Source organism: Homo sapiens, chromosome 22 (assembly GCF_000001405.40).
Source record: "Homo sapiens chromosome 22, GRCh38.p14 Primary Assembly".
Classification (NCBI taxonomy): Eukaryota; Metazoa; Chordata; class Mammalia; order Primates; family Hominidae; genus Homo; species Homo sapiens.
In genome coordinates this window covers 50,245,035-50,263,187 of record NC_000022.11, presented here as the reverse complement: position 1 = coordinate 50,263,187, position 18,153 = coordinate 50,245,035, and the positions used below count along the sequence as shown (strand labels likewise).

Genomic DNA, 18,153 nt, shown 5'->3' with positions numbered 1-18,153 from the left:
GTGTGGGGGAGGGTCCAGGCCATTTGGGGTCAGGCAGTGTCTCTAAGGACCAGGGACAGTCTGTGCCCTTGCTTGGGTCTTGGGTAGGGGTGGAAACCGTCTGGGAGTTGGGGGCCTCCTGGGGCCTGGTCAGTGTAGTGGTCAATCCCGGGGGAAGTCCAGTGTTGGCGGTTGGGGGTGGGAGGAGAATGGTGACACAGCCCCACCTCAGAAGCCTGGTCCGTGCAGGGCCTGCTGGACCCCTGAGCCCCACCACGGGGAGTAAGGGGGACAGCGTGGAAGCTGGGCTTCCTGGAAGAGGTGGATGGAGTGCCACAGGCAGCCCAGGGCACAAAGGGTATGGGCCACAGGCAGCTGTGGTTTGGGTGGCCCTGGGCTGCCCCGCTCACTGGTCACGAGCTGGTGAATGCCGTGGAGCACGGCCCAAGCCCAGGTGTAAAGCTACTACCACCCTTGAGCGGCTGAGCTGCTGATTCATGGCAGGAGGGCGGGGCAGAAGGCCCTAGGGATCCTGTTACCCACCAGCCCAGTGGGCTCCTGGGGTGCCCCAACATCCCTTCTGAGATCCAGGTTCCTGGGCTGGTGAAGGGGTGTCAGGGTGGGGCTTTGCCCTCAGGAGCATCTGGTCCAGGATGGGGCCAGACCTATGGGAGGACAATGCCCACACAGAGGGGTCAGGCGGAGGGCCCCAGCAGGTCCCCATCCCTGCTGGAGAGAGTGCAGCCACTCTCAGCCTGGGTTTTGCAGGACAGGACAGGCAGGGGTGGGATGGGCAGAGACACCAGTACTTGCAATGCTTGGAGCAGGCACCCCACAGATGGGGGGAGCAGGGGGAGGAGCTGGGGGTCCAAAAGGGCCCACGGGGACCTATGGGACTGAGAGGCCCGGGGTCAGTGGCCACAGGAGTGGGGTTGGGGATGCAGCCTGAGGAGTTTGGGGGACAGACCCCTCCGTGTAGAAAGAGGGATACAGGCAGGACAGGTGCAGATGGACCCCTTGTTGGGGGACGGATGGATCAGGCTCAGTGGTAGGGCATCCTTGGGGGTGGCCTGCGAAGTTGACCCCGGGAACACAGGGCTCAGCCCGACTTGCGGCTGCCATAGAAGTCAGCGCTCAGGCTGTCAAGGATGGGCCCTGCGCCCTGGAGCCGTGGGGAGTTAGGACTGGAGCGGGCGGGGGGGGGGGGGGGGGGCTCCTGCTGAGACCCCCCCAGGGCGGGGAAGTTCAGCCAAAGGGGAGAGGCTGGCAGAGGTATCTCCGCGCCGCGTCCGGCCCTTTATGGGGACGAAGCTGCGGGGCGGCGCTCCCCTCCCCCTGCGCTTCCCCCCAGGCTCCGGCCCTCCCCAGGCTCCGGCCCTCCCCCGGCGGCGGCCGCCTCGGGTTTCCGGAGGGGCCGGAGGGCGGGCGAGGGCGTCACGTGCGCGCCGCCCGCGGGCCGGTTGGTCCCCGGGCGGGGGAGGGGCCGTGCGCAGCCTGGGTCGGGGTCGGGCCGGGGTCGGCACCTGGGACATCCCTGAGGGAAGGGCCGGGAGCGGGAGCGCCCCAGCGGCCGGCGGGCGGGCGGGCGAGCGGACGAGCGGCGCGGAGCCGGCCCGAGGCGCGCGCCGAGGGAGCCCCGTCCCCGGTCGTGGGGGCACCGCCCGCAGGCTCTGCGGGGTGGGCAGCTCCCGGGCCTGCCATGAGCTCTCCGCCGCCCGCCCGCAGTGGCTTTTACCGCCAGGAGGTGACCAAGACGGCCTGGGAGGTGCGCGCCGTGTACCGGGACCTGCAGCCCGTGGGCTCGGGCGCCTACGGCGCGGTGTGGTGAGCGCGGGCCGGGCGGGGCGGCCGGCGGGGCGGGCGGGGCCTGCGCGGGGTGCCCGGCCTTCCCGCTAAGCGGTCCGCCCCGCAGCTCGGCCGTGGACGGCCGCACCGGCGCTAAGGTGGCCATCAAGAAGCTGTATCGGCCTTTCCAGTCCGAGCTGTTCGCCAAGCGCGCCTACCGCGAGCTGCGCCTGCTCAAGCACATGCGCCACGAGAACGTGAGTCGCGCGGCCCCGCTCCGGGAAGGCGCCGCGGCCTCGGCTTGGTTCAGCTGGGCTGGGTTCCCCCACCCGGCAACCCCTCCTCCAGGCAGCCTGCTGTGGGGCCGGGCGGGGGTCGGGCCGTGGGTCCCCAGGGGAGAAGGAGAGCAAGGCCTGTCTCTCCTTGGGAGACGACTCCCCCAAGGGCCGTTCCCCATCCTCCGCCAGCCCCGGGAAGGACTCAGCCCCTTGACTCGGCGCCTCAGCCAGGCCCTGGTCAGGGAACACGACTTGGCCAGGCCCAGGGGATCCTCCAGGTCTCACGCCAAGCCTTGCCCCCAGCCAGGAAGCCCGCGGTGAGAGCATGCTCCCGGCGGGAGGATTTTCCTGGAAGGGGCACCTTCCCTCTTCCCCATCCCCTTTCCAGCCCCTCTGTGGAGCCCACTCTGCTGCTGTCCATCTCCCGAGTCTTCCGACCCGGTGGTGGAGGGGGAGGAGGGGGGCGCCAGAACGCAGGGAGTGTGTTGAACCCTCAGGAGCCCCTGGGGGTGAAGGGTTTAGGGAGCTGCTGTTTGAGGAGCACTGGGCGTGGTGGCCGCCTCACAGACACCCTCCTGTGCGTTGTGGGGGCCCATCCTTTCCAGTCCTTCCAGTGAGATGCCACGTACAGCTGCCCTGGGCCTCTCCCATGGCGGTGGCTGGCTGCTAAGAACCCGATCTCTCTGCCAGGGGTGCTCTGGTTTCTGGATACAGTCCCACTTGTCCACTGCCCCCCACGTCACTCCTGCCCTCCCCCTGGTCTGGGCCCAGCCTGAGGGCTGGTGGTCTGGGCACCCGGACCCTACCTACAGGGTGAGATGCTCTGGACCCTCCTGGGTCATCTGAGCCACCGGTGCCTTGGGAGAACGAGTCCCTGCGTCCACCAGCAAAGTGCCCCGTCCACCAGCAAAGTGCCCCGTCCCCCGGTTCCTGGCCACCGCTACTCCCTCAGCCCCTTGGATGGGTCTTTTTCTCTGAGGCTTCCCATGCCCACCCTGACCCCCAGCTCACTACCCTGGGCCCTGTGAAATCCATTTGCAGTGGACACCAGCCCTGCCCGCACCTCGACACCCCGTCACACCCAGCCCTGCCCCCACTTCGCCGGCACCGCACCCCCCCACCACCCGCCCATCACACCAAGGCCTTGCCCCAGGACTGCAGCCTTCCCCACGGCCCCCTGCTCCCACCCACCCACTCACCCACCCGTGCCTTGCCCCATCCAGCCAAGCGCTCTGGGGCTTTTTTTCTTTTTTTTTCTTTTGAGACCGAGTTTCGCTCTTGTTGCCCAGGCTGGAGTGCAATGGCACGATCTCAGCTCACTGCAACCTTCGCGTCCTGGGTTCAGGCGATTCTCCTGCTTCAGCCTCCTCAGTAGCTGGGATTACAGGCGCGCGCCACCACGCCTGGCTAATTTTTTGTATTTTTAGTTGAGATGAGGTTTCACTATGTTGGGCAGACTGGTCTCGAACCCCTGACCTCAAGTGATCTGCTCGCCTCGGCTTCCCAAAGTGCTGGGGTTACAGGCGTGAGCCACCGCGCCGGGCTCCACCGGGGCTTTTCTTTAGCCACCGCCCCGCTGTGCTGGGATCTCCGCTGTGCCTGTGGGCCCACCCCCTGGGCTCCTGGCCTGCAGCTGAGGCTCTTTCCCTGGAACCCCATCTTCCTGGGAGACTGAAGCTCTGTGAGGCCACGTGCCTTGCTCAGCGGGGGAGGAGGCTCTGCCACAGGCCTCAGTCCTGCCAGGCCGCCTCCCTCTCCAGGCCAGCCCCCATACCACAGAGGCCAGGCCAAGTCCTGTGGCCCCTAGCCCACAGGACCCTGCTCTCCGTCTTCTGCTAAAGCACTCTCCCGGGCACCCTCCAGCTCTCATGTCCACAGTCCCCGCTGCCCCCTGGACACCCCCTCTGTTCCCTCTCCTCCTCCCTCCACATTCTTGCCCATGGCTCTGGCCCACGTGGCTCCGGCGGAGCTGTCCTTCCAGCTTGTGTCCATTCTTACCTCACTCTGGCCGGTTCCTACACCACGGCCAGGAGGACGCATTTAGCCTCACGTCCCCATTTAAATCGTCCCCGTCTCTTGGGATCAAAGCCAAACTTCCACCTGGTGTGTGCTGCCCTGCCGGCTCCCTCTGGCCTCTCCTCAGCCCCTCCCTGGCCTGGGCCTCCGCCACCTGGCCTCCCTCCCTGTATTCTTCAAACTATCCAAGTGTGCTCCCTCCTGCCTCGGCCACTCTGTGTGTGCCCTCTGCCAGGTGTCCCGCAGCCCACATGTCTACCTGCCCCTCCACCCTTGGCTGTGCAAAACTCCAGGCCTCCCTGGGACCGTCACCCCAAAATGCTGAGGCGGCAGTTGTCACATGACCTGTCTACTGTCTATCTCCCCAACCAGGGGTGCTGAGGGGACCAGGTCTGGTGGGTCACGGTGCTGTCCGCCTGGGCCTCACCAGCAGAGGCCTGGCCTCTTTCCATAGCGCTGTCCCCACCCTGGGCCTGGATCTGTTTGGTTGGGGTGAAGAGGGGTGAAAGGGTCAGGCGGCAGGAGCCCTTTGGATGGTTCGGAGCCATCCCAGACTCCGGGTTGCCCCTCCCCCAGAAGATCCCGGTTGTCACCGTCCAAAAATAACCTTTCTGTGGGTATGTGTGCCAGGGCTGGGCCACACTGCCAGTGGGTATGTGTGCCAGGGCTGGGCCACACTGCCAGTGGGCAGAGCCAGGCCCTTTGGACAGTGGGGCATGACAATGACAGCTGCAGAGGGGGTTTCCTGCCCAGAGGGTTGTGCCACTCTTGGGGGGTGCCCCAGCCCGTGTCCTCTGCTGCATTCTCAACCCTATGTGGCCCCCCCAGGTGATCGGGCTGCTGGACGTATTCACTCCTGATGAGACCCTGGATGACTTCACGGACTTGTGAGTGCCGACCTGGGCTGGCCGCTGGGCACGAGGGGTGTTGGGCAGCTCTGGGCACTGGCTTCAGGTTCTAGGTTGGCAATGGGGTTCTCTTCCTGCAGCCTGAGTGGGGGATGCACACCGCCCACCCCCTCCCCATACCACTGTCCACCCCACGCCCTCCCCCACATGGTCCTGGGACCCACGGGCACTGGCACAGCTGGGCAGAGCTGGGGCTGCTGCCTCTCTCCACGCCTGGCACCTGGGCCCTCTCCAGCACCGGAGGTGTGAACCTTGGACCTGACCATTTGTTAACAGGAAGGTCCCGTGCTCGGGACCCTGGCACCAAGTGTGTGGCCGGTAACTGGAGCTGCTGACCTTTTCCAGCGGGTGGGGGAGAAGCGGTAGGGAGGACCCACCCTGCCCCTGCCCTGCAGCCGACCACCCTGGGACTCACACCCTGTCGGCCAAGAGTGAAGGGCCAGGCCGAGGAAGGCCTGGAGAGGGTAGCAGGCGCCTCCCGCCTGACTTGCAGAGGTCAAGTCAGTGGCCTCTGGGAAGGTGCTAAATACCATTCTCCTGTGTCTGTCTCCACCGGCCCAGCCGACCCCTCTGACCCAGATGCCTTGCCGCGCCCCCATCGCCCCCAGGCACCTCCCTCATTTCTGGCACAAAGTTGTGAAGTTGAAACCTGACTGCCTCCCTCCCCTGCCTGTGAAGACTCGAGTCCTGCTGCCTCTACCATGGAGCCTCAGCCCCTAGCCTGGCACGCAGGGCGCTTCAGCGGAGGGTTCAAAAACCCCAAGGCAGCCTCCTCCCTGCCTGACAGTCCTCAGGGTGGGAGGGGGGTGTGAGCGCTGCTGGCAGTAACAGTTGCGGGAGGATGGAGCCTGGCACTGCAAGGTGGGGCTGCGAGGACACCGAGGCCAGTGTGGATGTGTGCTGCAGGGGTGACCTTCCTGGGGGTGCCTGTTGGATCCGGGACGGGTCTGAGCCTGGGCCTGCTGGGTGGGTCTCTGGGATGCAGAGGCTGGCTCTGTCCGCTGACAGCGCTCCGGCCCCTCCCACAGTTACCTGGTGATGCCGTTCATGGGCACCGACCTGGGCAAGCTCATGAAACATGAGAAGCTAGGCGAGGACCGGATCCAGTTCCTCGTGTACCAGATGCTGAAGGGGCTGAGGGTACGGGCCCCGGGGGAGGCTGCAGGGAGGCAGGCAGGGCCTCGGGGCTGGGCAGAGGAGGGCCCTGTGGCTCTGAGAGGGTGCGCTGAAGCCTGCCAAATCCTCTGCCCCCCGCAGTATATCCACGCTGCCGGCATCATCCACAGAGTGAGTCCCGGTGGAGAAGCCGCTCATCAGCCCTCCCCCAGTGCAATCCCCCCGCCTCCACGTCCCACCTGTGAGGATGTGATGGGGTCTGGGTGCTGAGCCACGCCCTATGCACAGCCCCTGGTGGGAACCTGCCTGGGTGCCCAGGTACCTTGGTCTGCCCTTGAAGGGCTGCAGAGAGCAAGGGGGCCAGGTCCGGTGGCCCCATCTTTAGGTGCCACCCAGGCTCTTGGCTGTGCCCATGCTTGGGAGGGTGGGGCACAGTGGCCACCTTTCCTCTGCCCCCAGGACCTGAAGCCCGGCAACCTGGCTGTGAACGAAGACTGTGAGCTGAAGGTGTGTGCTGCCTGGCAGGGGGCCCTGAGGTGGGGCAGGGGCCCCCTCTGGATCTGCCCATCTATCCACCTGTCAGGCCTGGGCAGGGGGCCAAGGTCCCAGGCTCTGGGCAGTGGCTGAGGAGCTGGTGGGTGGGTGAGCCCAAGAGGCAGTGGTACACAACATGCCGTACCCAGGGCACCTGCTCCGTCCCGAGGGCTGCTGGGCTTGGTGCACTGGCCAGAGGGAGGAGCTCGGGGCAGTTTGGGGTCCGAGGGCGTGGCCTCAAGTCCTTGAAGGTTGTCAGGAGGCCCCAGCTTGGGAGCTTCAAGTCCAACCCCCCGGGGTCTCCTGGACCGTGGGTGGCCTGTCCGCTCCTTGGGAGTCCCCTAGAACCCACCTCCCCAATTCTTCCCACAGATCCTGGACTTCGGCCTGGCCAGGCAGGCAGACAGTGAGATGACTGGGTACGTGGTGACCCGGTGGTACCGGGCTCCCGAGGTCATCTTGAATTGGATGCGCTACACGCAGACGGGTGAGAAGCTGCCCAGAGATCTGGGCCTCTCAGGCTGCACCATCTGCTTCTCCACTTCTTCACGGACAGCCCTGTGGTGGCTGCTCCCAGGGAGGCTGTTGAGCTGGGGTGGGAGCCGGGCAGGTGGGCTGTGTTGGTGTCTCCTCCCTCCCCGTCTCATCCTGTCCCCCTGCCCACGGAGCTGACCAGGGCTTCTATCTCAGTGGACATCTGGTCTGTGGGCTGCATCATGGCGGAGATGATCACAGGCAAGACGCTGTTCAAGGGCAGCGACCGTATCCTCCAGCCGCAGGGCGGCACCAGGGGCGGGTGGGGATGGCTCCTGCCCAGGTGGGGGCAGTGGGGGCCCTGATCTCTGGCCCCCGAGCTGTGTTCCTGACCTCGGTGCAGACCTGGACCAGCTGAAGGAGATCATGAAGGTGACGGGGACGCCTCCGGCTGAGTTTGTGCAGCGGCTGCAGAGCGATGAGGTAAGGGGTGAGTGGGGAGCTGGGTGGGGGTGGGGGCGGACCTGGGCCTTGGTGTTGGCCCCTCACCCTTTCTTCCCACACAGGCCAAGAACTACATGAAGGGCCTCCCCGAATTGGAGAAGAAGGATTTTGCCTCTATCCTGACCAATGCAAGCCCTCTGGGTACGGCTGGCTAGTGTGGGGGCCACCGGGTGCTGGAGTGTGGGGCCTCCCGTGGTCTGGCCTGATGCACCTTCCCCCGCAGCTGTGAACCTCCTGGAGAAGATGCTGGTGCTGGACGCGGAGCAGCGGGTGACGGCAGGCGAGGCGCTGGCCCATCCCTACTTCGAGTCCCTGCACGACACGGAAGATGAGCCCCAGGTCCAGAAGTATGATGACTCCTTTGACGACGTTGACCGCACACTGGATGAATGGAAGCGTGAGTGGGGGGCTCCTGGCACGGCCTGTGTGGACCCAAGTGGGGGGCTCTGGGCAGGGCCTGTGTGGACCTGTGAGTTGGGGGCTCCGGGTAGGGCCTGTGTGGACCCGTGAGTTGGGGGCTCCGGGTAGGGCCTGTGTGGACCCTGTGGGCCCTGTGCAGGTGGCCAGGCTCAGAGTCCTAGATCCCCATCCCTGGGATGCAGGTCAGGTGAGGAGGATGGGAGGTCAGGGCAGCATGGGGCCGTGTGGCCTGGTGGAGATGACCTCTGGCTGGAGCTGGAAGTTGAAGGGAAGGGTGTTCCTGGCAGGCTCAGCACAGAGGCTGGCACAGAAGGAGCCGGGAGTGGTGAAAGGCAGCTGTGAGTCAGGGAACCAGGGCCCACTTAGCCCCTCCTGGCCCCCAGACCTGCTGCCCTTCCGCCATGTCCAGGCCAGAGACCTGGGCCACCCTGACACCCTCACCACGTCCGCTTGTCCCTAAGGCCTCTCTGCTCACACCTCCTGAATCTGTCCTTGCCTCTCCTTGCCCCATTTTTGTTTTTTGAGACGGAGTCTCACTCTGATGCCCAGGCTGGAGGGCAGTGGCACGATCTTGACTCACTGCAAGCTCCGTCTCCCGGGTACACACCGTTCTCCTGCCTCAGCCTCCCGAGTAGCCGGGACTACAGGCGCCCGCCACCAGGCCTGGCTAATTTTTTGTATTTTTAGTAGAGACGGGGTTTCACCGTGTTAGCCAGGATGGTCTCGATCTCCTGACCTCGTGATCCGCCCGCCTCGGCCTCCCAAAGTGCTGGGATTACAGGCGTGAGCCACCGCGCCCAGCCCTCTCCTTGCCCCACTTTAGGATCCCTCCCCCCTGGACAACTGTATACCCAAGACAGTCCCCAGGGCCTCGCCTGTCTCCCCCAGCCCCCGCTAAGCAGTCCAGACTCCAACCCCAACTGCTGGGGTCCATCATCCCCTATACCAGGGGCTATCCCCTCAACTTGGAGGGCTGGCCAAAGCCTGTGCAGCCTCAGGCTGGACTCAGAGAAGCCTCCCCAGCTCCCGCAGCTATGCTGCGGCCTGAGGCTGTGCTGGACCTGGCTTCATTTCTGCTCCAGGATGGCAGGCTGTGTCTTCTTCATGGCTGCATGACCAGCCTGGGGTGGGTGTGCCCGGGGAAAGTAGGTGTACACTGGGAGCCGTGCCATGTTTCAGGCCCTGTCCTGGCTCTGCCTCGGGTGCGGGACCTTGGTCCTCCACACTGGCTGGGTGGGGCTGGATGGGTTGAGATTCACATGTGCTCCTTACGACCACGGGTCCCTGGGTGCCCGCAGCAGGGCCTCCACCCTTCGCTGTGTGCATATTCGTGTGCTTATGAGTTTGGCTTTGTTTGATTAAAGGTTTCTGCTGCTAGAAAGATAACTTGAAAGCCATGGGCCATAGGATCCTCTCTGTAGTCCCCACCCACACAACTGTGGCTGAGGCCTCAGCTCTTAGGACAGACCGTGGTGGACATGTGGCCAAGCCCTGGCCACCTCCCCTTTCCCTGGAAAATCCAGATCTAGAGCAATGGCCTCTTCACACAAACCTTCTCTCAGTGGTTCAGACCACATTAGGATTAGAGAAGGGCCCCACGAGGCACCGCCAGGCGTGTCTGTGAGCGACTCCCAGGATGGAAGGCAAAGGCTGACCCCCCTCTCTGTTGTGCCCGCCCCCCCACCCCCGCCAGGTGTTACTTACAAAGAGGTGCTCAGCTTCAAGCCTCCCCGGCAGCTGGGGGCCAGGGTCTCCAAGGAGACGCCTCTGTGAAGATCTCTGGGCTCCGGGGTGGCAGTGAGGACCACCTTCACCTTCCACCTGAGAGGGGACTCTCGTTGCCACCTTGACCTTGGCTGGGGCTTGCATCCCAAGGCATCCATCAGAGCAGACGCCCGGGTTCCATGGACCCTCCTCCCCACGGCCATGCCTCTGCTCTTGGGCGCCCATCATGGAGGAGCACCTGAACTTTCTGGACAAGACCTCTGGCCGACCTGGGGATGGCCTCTGATCCCTGGAGCAGTGGCCCACTTGCCCGGTGCTCTCAGAAACCTCAGAGCTGGTGGGGCTCCAGATCAGGCCTTGGCCTCTGAGCCCTGCCTGCTCTGGGCCATGCAGAGGAAGGACAGAGGGTGGGCGCAGGGCACCAACTCAGGGACATCCCCTCTCCTGGGCGACGTCAGTGGACCTTCCTGCACCCCCAGCCTGGAATGTAAATCAGCTGTGTGGTGCCCGCGTGGCTGGAAGGAAATAGACCCTTTTGTAGCTCCCTGTTCTGGCTGTGCGTCCTCATGCCGGGTCCCACCTTAAGACCTCCGGGCCCTTGGCCTGCATGTAGAGGAGGCTGGCCTGATAGCTCAGACCCTTAGAGCCAGGAGGGGGGCCTGAGCATCCCATCTCTCCCAGGCCACAAAGCTGGTGCCCACTTCCCCCAGGCCTGTGCCAGTGATCTTCGAACCCCCACGTTAGGGCTTGGCCCCTCCCCTTTTACGGGGTGACCTGCTAATGGCTTAGACTCTAAGCCACTGTGTGTGGATCCTGAAGCCAGACCCAGGGGCAGGGCCTGATGGGGAGGAGTGTTAGGATCTACCCTAGCTCTCTGCATCCTCCAATGCCAGCAGGTCCCTGGGGGGAGGGGGCACGCTGGGCACGTTGAGACCCCTGTGGTGAAGTGGTGAGCGCCAGCCAGTCCCTGGGGGGACGGGGCACATTGGACATGTTGAGACCCCTCTGGCCCCTGTGGTGGATTGGTGAGCGCAGAGGGCTGGGTTTTATTCTTGATCAAACCTCTAGCCCCTACTACCCTGCTCCAGTGGTATCTTCGTGCCCAGGCCGCCCTCTGCAGGCCACTCGGTGTTTCCAAGGGTGGCGGCTGGAACACAGGCCATGGGCACCTCCAAACCTGTCCCAGGGCAGGGGTTACAGCAGAGAGACCAGTGAGGGGCAGGGCAGGGCAGGCCAGGTGTCCTCGGTGGACATGCCCACAGCTGGCCCAGCCAAAGTGGACCTGATGAGCTGCCACGACAGATGGGCCTTCTCTGCCCAGCGACCCTCATGCCTCTCCAGGGCATCCGGGCCTGGGGGACGTGATCGCCATCAGTTCCGGAGCCACGCTGACTTGTGGCATGGCTGCTGTCCACACTGGGCCCAAAGTGTGGGCCCATAGGTGGCCTGAGGACTGGGGGCCCCAAAATTCTGTGACCCAGCTGGATGTGAACTCCCGCGGGGGCAGGGTGTCCCCTGGGCTCCAGGGGGCCTCAGGTTTCCTCTCGGGCATCTTCCTCCGTGGCTGTGCCCGTGCCTCCTATCTTCCTCAGTCCCCCACCATGCTACCGCAACCCCGGTCCAGTGTCCCCACCTCCACCGACCTTGACTCTGCTCTTGGGCCAGGGGTCTTCTTGGAGCTAGAACCGGACTCACTCCCTCCTTAAACCTCGGGGGCGGTGCTGCGCCTCCATGCAGCCACGACCACCGCCCTGAGCCGGCCGCAGCGCCACCTGCCTCCCCGCGGGCTCCTCCCGCCTCGTGGCCTTTGCCCTGCAGACCCCTCGCCCCCCTCGCCTTTCACCCCAGGTCTTCCTGCGCCCGGGCCGGGTGGGCCTTGGGGCTGCGCTGGACCCTGACCCAGCTGGTGCAGAACGGGGCTCTCATGGGCAGGCTCGGCCACGGGCGTTCGGGTGGGGCTGCGGCGACCACTCGCCTAAGGCCGGGGGACCCCGCCCCTCTTGGAGGGGATCGGGGCGGGGCCAATGGGGAGGCGGAGCCGCAGCGCAGCTCCGAGGGCTGGCGGCTCGGGGCGCCGAGGCTTCCGCGCCCGCTGGTTCCTCGCTCCGGGGCGGAGCTCGCGATAGCGACCGGGAGCAGGGCGCGGGGCGGGACCCAGGTCCGAGGCGAGGAAGCCGGAAGCCAGGCGCGGGGAGCCTCCCCCTTCGACTGCAGCCTCGCTCCGTGCCTTCTGCGCGCCTGGGATCCCGGAGCCTGCCTAGGTTCTGTGCGCTCCCGCCCAGGCCGGTGCCCGCCGCCCGCCTGCGCCCCAGGCAGGTCCCAGGCCTCCGGCTGCTCCCGGCCGAAGGTGGGGACAGGCAGTGGCAGGCACCACTAGCGAGGGCGTTTGGGAACCCAGGGTGACCACGGCGCAGCCATGGGGACCGCGCTTGTGTACCATGAGGACATGACGGCCACCCGGCTGCTCTGGGACGAGTAAGTGGGACCTGGCCGAGGTGGGGTGCGGGGAGGGACCTCTGAACTGAGCTCCTCATCTGCCCCAGCCCCGAGTGCGAGATCGAGCGTCCTGAGCGCCTGACCGCAGCCCTGGATCGCCTGCGGCAGCGCGGCCTGGAACAGAGGTGTCTGCGGTTGTCAGCCCGCGAGGCCTCGGAAGAGGAGCTGGGCCTGGTGCACAGGTCAGGACGGGGGCAGGCCCCACGATGGGGGGCGGGGCGGGCAGCCCAGCTAGAAACCTAAGAACCTGGGCCTACCCCGAGCCTGCCAGCCTCGAATACAGAGCCTCTCCCTATGCACCTCGGGTGGGCTCACAGGCTTGAGGAAGTGACAGGGTGGCCACTCCCACCATGAATCCCAGGTCCCCGCCTCCCGCCCCCCTGCTCCTGCTGGTGACCCTGCCTCTCCTGCCTGCCCATCTGCATGCAGCCCAGAGTATGTATCCCTGGTCAGGGAGACCCAGGTCCTAGGCAAGGAGGAGCTGCAGGCGCTGTCCGGACAGTTCGACGCCATCTACTTCCACCCGGTGCGTGTCCCCGGACACACTCACCTGTGCAGACACACATGCACGTGCCTTTGAGCGTTCACAGCCACGGCCGCCAACCCCAGCCAGTGTCCCCTGGTCCATACACATGACATTGCCCTGCACACCTGCCTGCTGGCACTGCCAGAGCCTGGGGCTGGCCTGTTCTGCTCAGCAGCTGGTGTCTTGCAGCCTGGCACAAGTGTGGGTATGGCCTGCAAAGGGCAGCAGGGAAGGCAGGGGGCTCATCTGCGCCCCTGCGCCCACAGAGTACCTTTCACTGCGCGCGGCTGGCCGCAGGGGCTGGACTGCAGCTGGTGGACGCTGTGCTCACTGGAGCTGTGCAAAATGGGCTTGCCCTGGTGAGGTGAGAGCTGCCCCTTCCCCTGGCTGCTCCTCCGTGGGTGGCCCTGTGAGGGGCCAGGGCGACCCTGACGTGACCCAAATCCTACTCTCACGCCGTAGGCCTCCCGGGCACCATGGCCAGAGGGCGGCTGCCAACGGGTTCTGTGTGTTCAACAACGTGGCCATAGCAGCTGCACATGCCAAGCAGAAACACGGGCTACACAGGTGTGTGCCAGGCTGGCTGCAGGGGGGTGGGCCCAGGCCACACAGCAAGGGGCAGCGCAGGAGGCGAGAGAACCCAGCCAGCACCTTCCCATCCCTGGCCGGGCTCCTGGAGGTGGGAGGCCCTGCCCCTTTGCCACCAGCGCTGTCTGTACCCAGGATCCTCGTCGTGGACTGGGATGTGCACCATGGCCAGGGGATCCAGTATCTCTTTGAGGATGACCCCAGGTGAGCAGGGGTGCGGAAACCACCCTTCCCTGCAGCCCCAGTTTTTGGGTGCACAGCCTGGCCTGGGAAAATCCAGGGGTGAGATACAGACATGTGCTCAGGGGTCAGCGTTCTACAGGGAGCTGTAGAGCTGTTGAGGGTCCTGACCTTTGACCTCTGGCCCTGGCTGGCTGTTGGCAGCGTCCTTTACTTCTCCTGGCACCGCTATGAGCATGGGCGCTTCTGGCCTTTCCTGCGAGAGTCAGATGCAGACGCAGTGGGGCGGGGACAGGGCCTCGGCTTCACTGTCAACCTGCCCTGGAACCAGGTGCCCACCCTCAAGCCCCAGGTCCCCACCCAGCCCCCTCCCCCTGGGCCCCTCCCCTCCCCCACAGTTCACCCTCAAGCCCCAGGTCCCCACCCACCCCCTCCCCCGGGCCCCTCCCCTGCCCCACAGTTCAGGATGTAGCCTGGGATGTCCTGCCAGGTTGGGATGGGAAACGCTGACTACGTGGCTGCCTTCCTGCACCTGCTGCTCCCACTGGCCTTTGAGGTGACTGCACGGAGGGCTCCCCCAGGGCAGCCGGGTGGGAGGGGGACCTTGTGCCTGGAGTGCGCCAGTGAAGGCAGGAGGAGGGTTATGAGCTGTCCCACTCCTGTGTGGCTGGGGAAGGTGCTCAGGAGGGGATGGGATGGGCCTGGCTCGCCCTCACCTGGGCTCCAGCCCCTCTCTGTCGACCCTCCCCACTCCGGCCTGGCCTGTAGTTTGACCCTGAGCTGGTGCTGGTCTCGGCAGGATTTGACTCAGCCATCGGGGACCCTGAGGTGAGGGCCTTGCCTTGCCAGGGAGGGCTTCTGGGGTCCTGGGGCCCAGGTCCCCCATCACACATGGCTCTGGTTCCAGGGGCAAATGCAGGCCACGCCAGAGTGCTTCGCCCACCTCACACAGCTGCTGCAGGTGCTGGCCGGCGGCCGGGTCTGTGCCGTGCTGGAGGTGACTGGGGAGGGCACACAGGGAGGGTCTCTGGGCCAGAGGCCTGGGGGTCAGGAGCATGGGAGCCAGGTGCCCACGGGGTATTTGGGAGGGGCGTCCTGCCCGGGATAGAGCCAGGCAGGGGCTCTCCCGGTGACATCCCATCCCAGTGATATCTCTGCCCCAATCATGTCTCCACCCTCCTCCCAGGGCGGCTACCACCTGGAGTCACTGGCGGAGTCAGTGTGCATGACAGTACAGACGCTGCTGGGTGACCCGGCCCCACCCCTGTCAGGGCCAATGGCGCCATGTCAGAGGTGCGAGGGGAGGTAGGGCGGGCAGGGCCGGGGTGTGAGACCAGGTGTCACGACTGTTGTGTCTCCCTCACAGTGCCCTAGAGTCCATCCAGAGTGCCCGTGCTGCCCAGGCCCCGCACTGGAAGAGCCTCCAGCAGCAAGGTCAGTGTGGCCGGGTGCTAGGCTGCAGGATCCCACCTCGGGCTCCTGTGCAGTGGCTATGACTCCGAACTGTCCCTAGATGTGACCGCTGTGCCGATGAGCCCCAGCAGCCACTCCCCAGAGGGGAGGCCTCCACCTCTGCTGCCTGGGGGTCCAGTGTGTAAGGCAGCTGCATCTGCACCGAGCTCCCTCCTGGACCAGCCGTGCCTCTGCCCCGCACCCTCTGTCCGCACCGCTGTTGCCCTGACAACGCCGGATATCACATTGGTTCTGCCCCCTGACGTCATCCAACAGGAAGCGTCAGCCCTGAGGGAGGAGACAGAAGCCTGGGCCAGGTGGGCAGGGCTGGCCTGGGGAGAAGGATGGGGCCGCATCTACACCTGTGCCTGTGTGTGCCTGACCTGCGGTCACTCCGTGTCTGTGTGTCCCTCTGGTCTGTCCACCACAGGCCACACGAGTCCCTGGCCCGGGAGGAGGCCCTCACTGCACTTGGGAAGCTCCTGTACCTCTTAGATGGGATGCTGGATGGGCAGGTGGGAGCACCTGGGAGGGGTTGGGGATGCTGTGGACCTAGGGGCAGGGACCAGGACCTGCCAACGAGATGTGGCCTGTCCAGAGGAGGGCTGGGTGGTGCAGAACCACATGGATGTGAACATTGCCTTGTGCCAGGAACTGTTCCCAGAACAGCCCCAGGGGTGGGGATCACTAGTGTGTCTGACCTCTGACCTCAGCTTCTTCAGTTAAATGCTCTTTGGCAGAGAGGTGAAGGGGGTGATTTAAAGTATACATTTAGGCAGGGTGCAGTGGCTCATGCCTGTAATAACGGCAGTTTGGGGGGCCAAGGTGGGAGAAACGCTTGAGCCCAGGAGTTCAAGACCAGCCTAGAGAACATATGGAGACCCTGTCTTCACAAAAAATAAAAAAGTCAGCCAAGCGTGGTGGTGTGTGCCTGTAGTTACTTAGGAGGCTGAGGCAGGACGATCGCTTAAGCCCAGGAGTTTGAGGCTGTGGTGAGCTACAATTGCGCCACTGCACGCCAGCCTGGCTACAGAACGAGACCCTGCCTCTCTAAAAAAAAAAAAAAAAATTATAGACGTAAGCATCTTATTTACAGAAATGGAGTGATTGACCTTAGTGTAAGAAGATGTGTGGCTGACAGTAGCCGCAGAGACACACCGAATGAAGGGAACTGTGGATCTGTTTACCTGGCTTGGGAGTTGGTTGGTGCCTCATTCTCCACTGTTTATTCATCCCACAGGTGAACAGTGGTATAGCAGCCACTCCAGCCTCTGCTGCAGCAGCCACCCTGGATGTGGCTGTTCGGAGAGGCCTGTCCCACGGAGCCCAGAGGTAAGCCTCACTTGGCCATCCTGAGCCTCTGACGGCAGGACCTGTGGGCACCCCTATCCTGGCTGGCCAAGCACAGAGAGTTCTGGGAATGGACTCTGGACAACATGAACACCTGTCCTGAGGCCAGCTCTTCTTCCAGGCTGCTGTGCGTGGCCCTGGGACAGCTGGACCGGCCTCCAGACCTCGCCCATGACGGGTAGGACTCTCAGGTCTTGCATATGTCCAGCCATGCATGTGGACGGGCATGTGATGGACGTGTGCCTGGGCCCCAGGGTGACGGGTGGGTGGGGCACTGTGTGGTACTGAATGGAGCCTTCCTCAGCTGGGGTGTGGGAGAAGGGCTGCTGGAGGCAATGCCAGGTGGGTCTCCAGCACAGAGGCTCAGCAGTCACAGCACCCCTGCCCATGGCCCCGTGAATGCTCTTCCACCTCTGCCTCTGCGGTTTGGGCTCAGGAGGGTGAGCAGGGCCTTACACTTATGCACCTGTGTCCTGGAAGGAGGAGTCTGTGGCTGAACATCAGGGGCAAGGAGGCGGCTGCCCTATCCATGTTCCATGTCTCCACGCCACTGCCAGTGGTGAGTGACCATGCCACGCGGCAAGGCAGGTGCTGGGGAGCCCATGGATGTGTACAGCTGCTGTTTGCTGGCATTGTCATGATAGCAGGCCTCTGGTCCTTCCTGTCTCCCTGCTCCTACTCCAGGGGCCCTGAGATTGGGAGGTTGGGAGGCCAGAGCCAGCAGGTGTCCGTAGATGAGGAGCTGGGCTCTGCTGTCCCCACAGATGACCGGTGGTTTCCTGAGCTGCATCTTGGGCTTGGTGCTGCCCCTGGCCTATGGCTTCCAGCCTGACCTGGTGCTGGTGGCGCTGGGGCCTGGCCATGGCCTGCAGGGCCCCCACGCTGCACTCCTGGCTGCAATGCTTCGGGGGCTGGCAGGGGGCCGAGTCCTGGCCCTCCTGGAGGAGGTAAGCTGGGCAGGGTGGAGGTGCTGCGGGGTGGGACGAGGGAAAGGACCAGTGACTGCTTCCGTCTTCGCCCCTGGTCCAGAACTCCACACCCCAGCTAGCAGGGATCCTGGCCCGGGTGCTGAATGGAGAGGCACCTCCTAGCCTAGGCCCTTCCTCTGTGGCCTCCCCAGAGGACGTCCAGGCCCTGATGTACCTGAGAGGGCAGCTGGAGCCTCAGTGGAAGATGTTGCAGGTGAGGCTGACTGCGGAGGCATGGCCCTGCCCTGGGGCCTGGCTCTGCCGCACAGATCGGTGGGGAGGGCAGGGCAGGGGAGTGCCCTGAACCAGCTCCAGCGCCGGAGGCCAACTGCGCGCCTCTTCTCGGCTCCTCCTGTAGTGCCATCCTCACCTGGTGGCTTGAAATCGGCCAAGGTGGGAGCATTTACACCGCAGAAATGACACCGCACGCCAGCGCCCCGCGGCCGCGATCCGGACCCCAAGCCCACGGCTCCCTCGACTCTGGGGCACGGAACCCCGCCCACTCCCAATCCCCGCGCCCCGCCCTCTCCCACCCGTGCTTCCCCCGCTCCACCCCTCACCTCACCTCGCCCCCGCCCCACCCATCGCGCCCCGGCCCGTCCCATCGAGGCCCATGCAACCCACGCTCGGTCCCGTTCCGGCCCCTGCGCCCCGCTGCGCTTCGCTCCCCGCCCTTGCGCCGTTAGTAAACATCGCTCAAACGAAACGCTGGCTCTGCCTCCTTTACTGAGCACGCTCGGCCTCGGTCTCTCACCCGCGGTGCCGGACTCAGGCCGGAAGTATGCCGCGGCCCAGGCCTCACCAACTTCACGCGCTGCCGGCGTTCCCGTGACGTATTTCCGGCGCGCCCGCCC

General features: G+C 65.0%; 2 protein-coding genes across 4 annotated transcripts, besides 13 other annotated features; both read left to right on the top strand.

The window, feature by feature from the left end:
- Positions 388-1,119: an enhancer, noted in NCBI's record as "H3K4me1 hESC enhancer chr22:50700498-50701229 (GRCh37/hg19 assembly coordinates)". NCBI's record gives its function as "activates a minimal SCP1, AML or CMV promoter by ChIP-STARR-seq in naive H9 embryonic stem cells {active_cell/tissue: H9 hESC(naive)}" and the evidence as "EXISTENCE:reporter gene assay evidence [ECO:0000049][PMID:30033119]".
- Positions 1,167-1,216: a silencer, noted in NCBI's record as "silent region_13963". NCBI's record gives its function as "represses an Ori minimal core promoter by ATAC-STARR-seq in GM12878 lymphoblastoid cells {active_cell/tissue: GM12878}" and the evidence as "EXISTENCE:reporter gene assay evidence [ECO:0000049][PMID:35858748]".
- Positions 1,227-1,536: a silencer, noted in NCBI's record as "silent region_13962". NCBI's record gives its function as "represses an Ori minimal core promoter by ATAC-STARR-seq in GM12878 lymphoblastoid cells {active_cell/tissue: GM12878}" and the evidence as "EXISTENCE:reporter gene assay evidence [ECO:0000049][PMID:35858748]".
- MAPK12 (mitogen-activated protein kinase 12) lies at positions 1,505-10,287 on the top strand. 2 transcript variants are annotated; one of them, NM_002969.6, is made up of 12 exons: positions 1,505-1,803; positions 1,892-2,021; positions 4,887-4,945; positions 5,995-6,106; positions 6,224-6,253; positions 6,542-6,589; positions 6,989-7,103; positions 7,307-7,378; positions 7,494-7,573; positions 7,657-7,735; positions 7,818-7,991; positions 9,708-10,287. In NM_002969.6, exons 1-12 carry the CDS (start codon positions 1,679-1,681, stop codon positions 9,785-9,787), a joined length of 1,104 nt encoding a protein of 367 aa, NP_002960.2. In that variant the 5' UTR covers positions 1,505-1,678; the 3' UTR covers positions 9,788-10,287. The 2 variants fall into 2 exon arrangements, with proteins under 2 accessions (NP_002960.2, NP_001290181.1); NM_001303252.3 differs by lacking the exon at positions 6,224-6,253.
- Positions 1,567-1,936: a silencer, noted in NCBI's record as "silent region_13961". NCBI's record gives its function as "represses an Ori minimal core promoter by ATAC-STARR-seq in GM12878 lymphoblastoid cells {active_cell/tissue: GM12878}" and the evidence as "EXISTENCE:reporter gene assay evidence [ECO:0000049][PMID:35858748]".
- Positions 2,087-2,266: a silencer, noted in NCBI's record as "silent region_13960". NCBI's record gives its function as "represses an Ori minimal core promoter by ATAC-STARR-seq in GM12878 lymphoblastoid cells {active_cell/tissue: GM12878}" and the evidence as "EXISTENCE:reporter gene assay evidence [ECO:0000049][PMID:35858748]".
- Positions 2,689-3,189: an enhancer, noted in NCBI's record as "H3K4me1 hESC enhancer chr22:50698428-50698928 (GRCh37/hg19 assembly coordinates)". NCBI's record gives its function as "activates a minimal SCP1, AML or CMV promoter by ChIP-STARR-seq in naive H9 embryonic stem cells {active_cell/tissue: H9 hESC(naive)}" and the evidence as "EXISTENCE:reporter gene assay evidence [ECO:0000049][PMID:30033119]".
- Positions 3,914-4,486: an enhancer, noted in NCBI's record as "H3K4me1 hESC enhancer chr22:50697131-50697703 (GRCh37/hg19 assembly coordinates)". NCBI's record gives its function as "activates a minimal SCP1, AML or CMV promoter by ChIP-STARR-seq in primed H9 embryonic stem cells {active_cell/tissue: H9 hESC(primed)}" and the evidence as "EXISTENCE:reporter gene assay evidence [ECO:0000049][PMID:30033119]".
- Positions 10,908-11,077: an enhancer, noted in NCBI's record as "active region_19311". NCBI's record gives its function as "activates an Ori minimal core promoter by ATAC-STARR-seq in GM12878 lymphoblastoid cells {active_cell/tissue: GM12878}" and the evidence as "EXISTENCE:reporter gene assay evidence [ECO:0000049][PMID:35858748]".
- Positions 11,568-12,227: a silencer, noted in NCBI's record as "silent region_13959". NCBI's record gives its function as "represses an Ori minimal core promoter by ATAC-STARR-seq in GM12878 lymphoblastoid cells {active_cell/tissue: GM12878}" and the evidence as "EXISTENCE:reporter gene assay evidence [ECO:0000049][PMID:35858748]".
- On the top strand, positions 11,923-18,005 carry HDAC10 (histone deacetylase 10). 2 transcript variants are annotated; one of them, NM_032019.6, is made up of 20 exons: positions 11,923-12,214; positions 12,283-12,417; positions 12,665-12,761; positions 13,028-13,125; positions 13,224-13,328; positions 13,485-13,553; positions 13,734-13,860; positions 14,020-14,085; positions 14,298-14,357; positions 14,437-14,526; positions 14,716-14,822; positions 14,896-14,963; positions 15,043-15,298; positions 15,412-15,496; positions 16,222-16,313; positions 16,453-16,509; positions 16,812-16,890; positions 17,096-17,278; positions 17,361-17,513; positions 17,658-18,005. In NM_032019.6, the coding sequence occupies exons 1-20, from the start codon at positions 12,156-12,158 to the stop codon at positions 17,679-17,681; spliced, it is 2,010 nt and encodes a 669-aa protein (NP_114408.3). In that variant the 5' UTR covers positions 11,923-12,155; the 3' UTR covers positions 17,682-18,005. The 2 variants fall into 2 exon arrangements, with proteins under 2 accessions (NP_114408.3, NP_001152758.1); NM_001159286.2 differs by lacking the exon at positions 14,298-14,357.
- Positions 12,732-13,578: an enhancer, noted in NCBI's record as "H3K27ac-H3K4me1 hESC enhancer chr22:50688039-50688885 (GRCh37/hg19 assembly coordinates)". NCBI's record gives its function as "activates a minimal SCP1, AML or CMV promoter by ChIP-STARR-seq in primed H9 embryonic stem cells {active_cell/tissue: H9 hESC(primed)}" and the evidence as "EXISTENCE:reporter gene assay evidence [ECO:0000049][PMID:30033119]".
- Positions 14,736-15,658: an enhancer, noted in NCBI's record as "H3K27ac-H3K4me1 hESC enhancer chr22:50685959-50686881 (GRCh37/hg19 assembly coordinates)". NCBI's record gives its function as "activates a minimal SCP1, AML or CMV promoter by ChIP-STARR-seq in naive H9 embryonic stem cells {active_cell/tissue: H9 hESC(naive)}" and the evidence as "EXISTENCE:reporter gene assay evidence [ECO:0000049][PMID:30033119]".
- Positions 14,924-15,363: an enhancer, noted in NCBI's record as "active region_19310". NCBI's record gives its function as "activates an Ori minimal core promoter by ATAC-STARR-seq in GM12878 lymphoblastoid cells {active_cell/tissue: GM12878}" and the evidence as "EXISTENCE:reporter gene assay evidence [ECO:0000049][PMID:35858748]".
- Positions 17,793-17,862: a silencer, noted in NCBI's record as "silent region_13958". NCBI's record gives its function as "represses an Ori minimal core promoter by ATAC-STARR-seq in GM12878 lymphoblastoid cells {active_cell/tissue: GM12878}" and the evidence as "EXISTENCE:reporter gene assay evidence [ECO:0000049][PMID:35858748]".

Excerpts from the sequence above, each read along its gene's own strand:
- HDAC10 (NM_032019.6), top strand. The coding sequence starts at position 12,156 with ATGGGGACCGCGCTTGTGTACCATGAGGACATGACGGCCACCCGGCTG. Across the intron at positions 12,762-13,027 it reads ACGCCATCTACTTCCACCCG|AGTACCTTTCACTGCGCGCG; the intron begins GTGCGTGTCCCC and ends CTGCGCCCACAG. Across the intron at positions 14,527-14,715 it reads GGGTCTGTGCCGTGCTGGAG|GGCGGCTACCACCTGGAGTC; the intron begins GTGACTGGGGAG and ends CCCTCCTCCCAG.
- MAPK12 (NM_002969.6), top strand. The coding sequence starts at position 1,679 with ATGAGCTCTCCGCCGCCCGCCCGCAGTGGCTTTTACCGCCAGGAGGTG. Across the intron at positions 4,946-5,994 it reads CTGGATGACTTCACGGACTT|TTACCTGGTGATGCCGTTCA; the intron begins GTGAGTGCCGAC and ends CCCCTCCCACAG. Across the intron at positions 7,379-7,493 it reads GCTGTTCAAGGGCAGCGACC|ACCTGGACCAGCTGAAGGAG; the intron begins GTATCCTCCAGC and ends ACCTCGGTGCAG.